The sequence below is a fragment of the Homo sapiens genome, chromosome 5, assembly GCF_000001405.40.
Source record: "Homo sapiens chromosome 5, GRCh38.p14 Primary Assembly".
NCBI classification, from domain to species: domain Eukaryota; kingdom Metazoa; phylum Chordata; class Mammalia; order Primates; family Hominidae; genus Homo; species Homo sapiens.
In genome coordinates this window covers 87,210,155-87,215,734 of record NC_000005.10, presented here as the reverse complement: position 1 = coordinate 87,215,734, position 5,580 = coordinate 87,210,155, and the positions used below count along the sequence as shown (strand labels likewise).

Below are 5,580 nucleotides of genomic sequence, written 5' to 3'. Positions count from 1 at the left end.
AAAGGAAAAGAAAAAAAGCAGGGGTTGCAATCCTAGTCTCTCATAAAACAGACTTTAAACCAACAAAGATAAAAAAAGACAAAGAAGGGCATTACATAATGGTAAAGGGATGAATGCAACAAGCAGAGCTAACTATTCTACATATATATGCACCCAATACAGGAGCACCCAGATTCATAAAGCAAGTTCTTAGAGACCTACAAAGAGACTTAGACTCTCACACAATAATAATGGGAGACTTTGACACTCCACTGTCAATATTAGACAGAACAATGAGACAGAAAATTAACAAGAATATTCAGGACTTAAACTCAGCTCTGGACCAAGCAGACCTACAGAACTCAGAACTTGAACTCAGCTTTGGACCAAGCAGACATCTACACAACTCTCCACTTCAAATCAACAGAATATACATTCTTAGCAGCACCACATCGCACTTATTCTAAAATTGACCACATAATTGGAAGTAAAACACTACACACCGAATGCAAAAGAACGGAAATCACAACAGTCTCTCAGACCACAGTGCAATCAAATTAGAACTCAGGATTAAGAAACTTACTCAAAACCGCACAACTACATGGAAACTGAACAACCTGCTCCTGAATGACTACTGGGTAAATAACGAAATTAAGGCAGAAATAAATAAGTTTTTTGAAACCAATGAGAACAAAGACACAATGTACCAGAATCTGTGGGACACAGCTAAAGCAATGTTTGGAGAGAAATGTATAGCACTAAATGCCCACAGGAGAAAGCAGGAAAGATCTAAAGTCAACACCCTAACATCACAATTAAAAGAACTAGAGAAGCAAGAGCAAACAAATTCAAAAGCTACCAGAAGACAAGAAATAACTAAGATCAGAGCAGAACTGAAGGAGATAGAGACATGAAAAACCCTTCAAAAAAATCAATGAATCCAGGACCTGGTTTTTTGAAGAGATTAACAAAATAGATAGATCACTAGCCAGAATAATAAAAAAGAAAAGAAAGAAGAATCAAATAGACACAATAAAAAATGATAAAGAGGATATCACCATTGATCCCACAGAAAAACAACCTACCATCAGAGAATACTATAAACACCTCTATGCAAATAAACTAGAAAATCTAGAAGAAATGGACAAATTCCTGGACACATACACCCTTCCAAGGCTAAACCAGGAAGAAGTCAAATCCCTGAATAGACCAATAATAAATTCTGAAATTGAGGCACAAAAAAATAAAATTTCAGGCCAATATCCCTCATAAAGATCGATGCAAAAATCTTCATTAAAATACTGGCAAACAGAATCCAGCAGCACATCAAAAAGCTTATCCACCACGATCAAGTTGACTTCATCCCTGGGATGCAAGGCTGGTTCAACATATGCAAAATAATAAACATAATCCATCACATAAACAGAACCAATGACAAAAACCACATGATTGATTATCTCAAGAGATGCAGAAAAGGCCTTTGATAAAATTCAACACCCCTTCATGCTAAAAGCTCTCAATAAACTAGGTGTTGATGGAACATATCTCAAAATAATAAGGGCTATTTATGACAAACCCACAGCTAATATCATATAGAATGGGCAAAAACTGGAAGCATTCTCTTTGAAAACCGGCACAAGACAAGGATGCCCTCTCTCACCACTCCTATTCAACATAGTATTGGACGTTCTGGCCAGGGCAATCAGGCAAGAGAAAGAAAGAAAGAGTATTCAAATAGGAAGAGAGGAAGTCAAATTGTCCCTGTTTGCAGATGACATGATTGTATATTTAGAAAACCCCATCGTCTCAGCCCAAAATCTCCTTAAGCTGATAAGCAACTTCAGCAAAGTCTCAGGATACAAAATCAATGTGCAAAAATCACAAGCATTCCTATACACCAAGAATAGACAAGCAGAGAGACAAATCATGAGTGAACTCCCATTCACAACTGCTACAAAGATAATAAAATACCCAGGAATACAACTCACAAGGGATGTGAAGAACTACAAACAACTGCTCAAGGAAATAAGAGAGTACACAAACAAATGGAAAAACATTCCATGCTCATGGATAGGAAAAATCAATATCATGAAAATGGCCATACTGCCCAAAGTTATTTATAGATTCAATGCTATCCCCATCAAGCCATGATTGACATTCCTCACAGAATTAGAAAAAACTACTTTAAATTTCATATGGAACCAAAAAAGAGTCCAAATAGCCAAGACAATCCTAAGCAAAAGGAACAAAACTGGAGGCATCATGCTACCTGACTTCAAACTATACCACAAGGCTACAGTAACCAAAACAGCATGGTACTGGTACCAAAACAGATATATAGACCAATGGAACAGAACAGATGCATCAGAAATAATGCTGCACATCCACAACCATCTGATCTTTGATAAATCTGACAAAAACAAGAAATGGGGAAAGGATTCCCTATTTAATAAATGGTGTTGGGAAAACTGGCTAGCCATATGCAGAAAACTGAAACTGGACCCCTTTCTTACAACTTATACAAAAATTAACTCAAGATGGATTAAAGACTTAAATTTAAGACCTAAAACTATAAAAACCTAGAAGAAAACCTAGGCAATGCCATTCAGGACATAGGCATGGGCAAAGACTTCATGACTAAAATGCCAAAAGCAATGGCAACAAAAGCCAGTAGTGACAAAAGGGATCTAATTAAACTAAAGAGCTTCTGCACAGCAAAAGAAACTATCATCAGAGTGAACAGGAAACCTACAGAATGGAAGAGAATTTTCTATCCAGCTGACAAAGGGCTAATATCCAGAATCTACAAGGAACTTAAACACATTTACAAGAAGAAAAACAACCCCATCAAAACATGAGTGAAGGATATGAACAGACACTTCTCAAAAGAAGACATTTATGTGGCCAACAAATATATGAAAAAACACCTTATCAACACTGGTTATTAGAGAAATGCAAATCAAAAACCACAATGAGATACCATCTCACGCCAGTTAGATGGCAATCATTAAAAAGTCAGGAAACAACAGATGCTGGAGAGGATGTGGAGAAACAGGAATGCTTTTACTCTTTTGGTGGGAGTGTAAATTAGTTCAACCATTGTGGAAGACAGTGTGGCGATTCCTCAAAGATCTAGAACCAGAAATACCATTTGACCCAGCAATCCCATTACTGGGTATATACCCAAAGGATTATAAATAATTCTACTATAAAGACACATGCACACGTATGTTTATTACAGCACTATTTGCAATAACAAAGACTTGAAACCAACCAGTTTATCAATGATAAACTGGATAAAGAAAATGTGGCACATATACACCATGGAATACTATGCAGCCATAAAAAAGGATGAGTTCTTGTCCTTTGCAGGGACATGGATGAAGTTGGAAACCATCACTCTCAGCAAACTAACACAGGAACAGAAAACCAAACGCTGCATGTTCTCACTTATAAGTGGGAGTTGAACAATGAGAACACATGGACACAGGGAGGGGAAGATCACACACCAGGGCCTGTTGCTGGGTGGGGGCAAAGGGAGGGATAGCATTCAGAGAAATACCTAATGTAGATGGTTGACAGGTGCAGCAAACCACCATGGCACATGTATACCTATGTAACAAACCTGCATGTTCTGCACATGTATCCCAGAATTTAAAGTATAATAAAAATTATTTTTCTTTATGTAAATGTATTAAGTAAAAACTGAATCAATTTCAGAAAAAGATGATAGTATTGGTGATACTAAGACGAGGCAAAAAGTGAAGAGGAGACAGAAATGACTGAGGATTGGCAAACATTGGCATAGAATAATAAGAAACTTGACCTAGTTGTCTGAAGGAGATTCTGGCAACTAACTTATTAGCTAACCTTGGGCCCATCACTAAATGATTCTGGTTTCAGTTTTCATATCCTCTAATTGAACAGTTTGAGCTAGATAATCTCTAAGATATTTTTTAGGAATAAACTGCAGAATATAATTATAATGTTAATAAAGATGAAGGTGAGGGTAAGATTAAGATAAATTTTACTGGCTGGAAATATGTCTTCAGGCCAATTAGATTTTGTGCCTTTGATTTTCAGGTGAGTCTCTCCAGAGGCACAGTGATCAAGTCAGCTAAATTTATTATTTGTGTATTCCCTCTCTCTTTTTATGACTTTTCCTTCTCCTTGGTCTCTTCTAAGTAGCCAATTTCTGCTTGATTCTCCAGTCTACCCAGAGAACTCTGAGGCCCCAACAGTCATCCCAATCTGAGGTTTCTAGGGTGGGTCTAACTTCTGTCTTTCTTACTGTTCTTTCTAATCAGAGTGCACCTATATTGGTGAACTGGCACTATTGGGACTATTTCTGCCCCCATACCTCCATGTTTTTTTGTTTAGTTTTGTTTTTAAAGGAATCCTCTATGTTCCAAGCCTAATCCTGAGGCAGTCCCATCACAGCCTCCAGGTATGGGATGGCAAAATATTTGCCAGAAATTCCCCCTGATAATTTTGGCATTCAGTCAGGTTGTGCCTCTGAAAGACTCACTATACAATGTAAAGTAAGCCCATTTTCCATTCACATATTTAACTGTACTTTTCTCTTCTACATTTTTAGTCAAAGATTGATTTTTGGTACAGGTATTCATACAAATTCAGTCCACTTTCGACTGAGATCAATGTGGGTTTCCCAACTACATTTTTTTTTTCATCTAGCTATGCTATATGTGATTTTGTTTCTACCACATTAGAGAGTTTTTATTTCTTCTTGGTTGGCTGGCTTCCCAGTAGATCCAGATATTGAAAAACAGGTTAGATTAGTTTAGTCCATGTCTGTCAAGCTCAAGTTCTTGAGGTGGAGGAAATGATTTAAATAAATCTCACTCATTTTGAAACAGCTCTATCAAAGGCTGTCTACAGAATAAGGCCTGTCGATTTCAAAATTACTATCATAAATGAATACCATGGCAGTCTGCTGCCAAATTTTAAAATTTCCTTTAGGTGTCTGTTTGCCAAATCTAAATACCAGCCTTTCATCACCATTTAATTAAAAAAATCTAGAATATGAAAATTCAATGAGAACTATTTCTGCTTATTTGTCTATATGAGTGCTTTTATTTATATTTAAGAAAAATATTGCAAGTATAAATCACCCAAAATACACAATTTGTATGAGGATCACCTCCAAAAGGCACTGGCTGTGGAAAAAGTAGTCTCTTTCCCTTTTATATATTATGTGATGCTAACGTTAATTGTTCTTCAATTATAGCTGGACTAGCAAAGCAAGTGTGCTAAGGTAGGTATGAGGAAAAGTGGAATTTGGGAGACTTGTTATACTCAGTTACGATGGGTTTAAATCTGGTTTATAGTTGCTATTATAATTATTTTCTTTTTTTTTAAATTTTAGCCCATTGGTCATAGAAAAGGATTATCTGGGATTGTTTGGCTAACTCAGAGAATTCAAGAGAAGGTTAGGAAGTTTATTTTCCTCCAAGTACATTAATAATAAAATAACAATGACTAAGGGCTTAGTTATGATTATCTGTGCTTTCAGTCCCATTTCTCTTTTGGATGAATGTGAAGCAAAGTTAAAGTAGAAAGCCAAGAAAAGAGCTAACCTCT

At 36.4% G+C, this 5,580-nt stretch overlaps 1 long non-coding RNA gene across 1 annotated transcript in view; it reads right to left on the bottom strand.

Annotated features, from left to right (window-relative positions):
• LOC101929380 (uncharacterized) overlaps nt 1–5,580 on the bottom strand; it is a 127,874-nt gene that overhangs the window by 32,287 nt on the left and 90,007 nt on the right. The gene's annotated exons all lie outside the window — the stretch shown is intronic.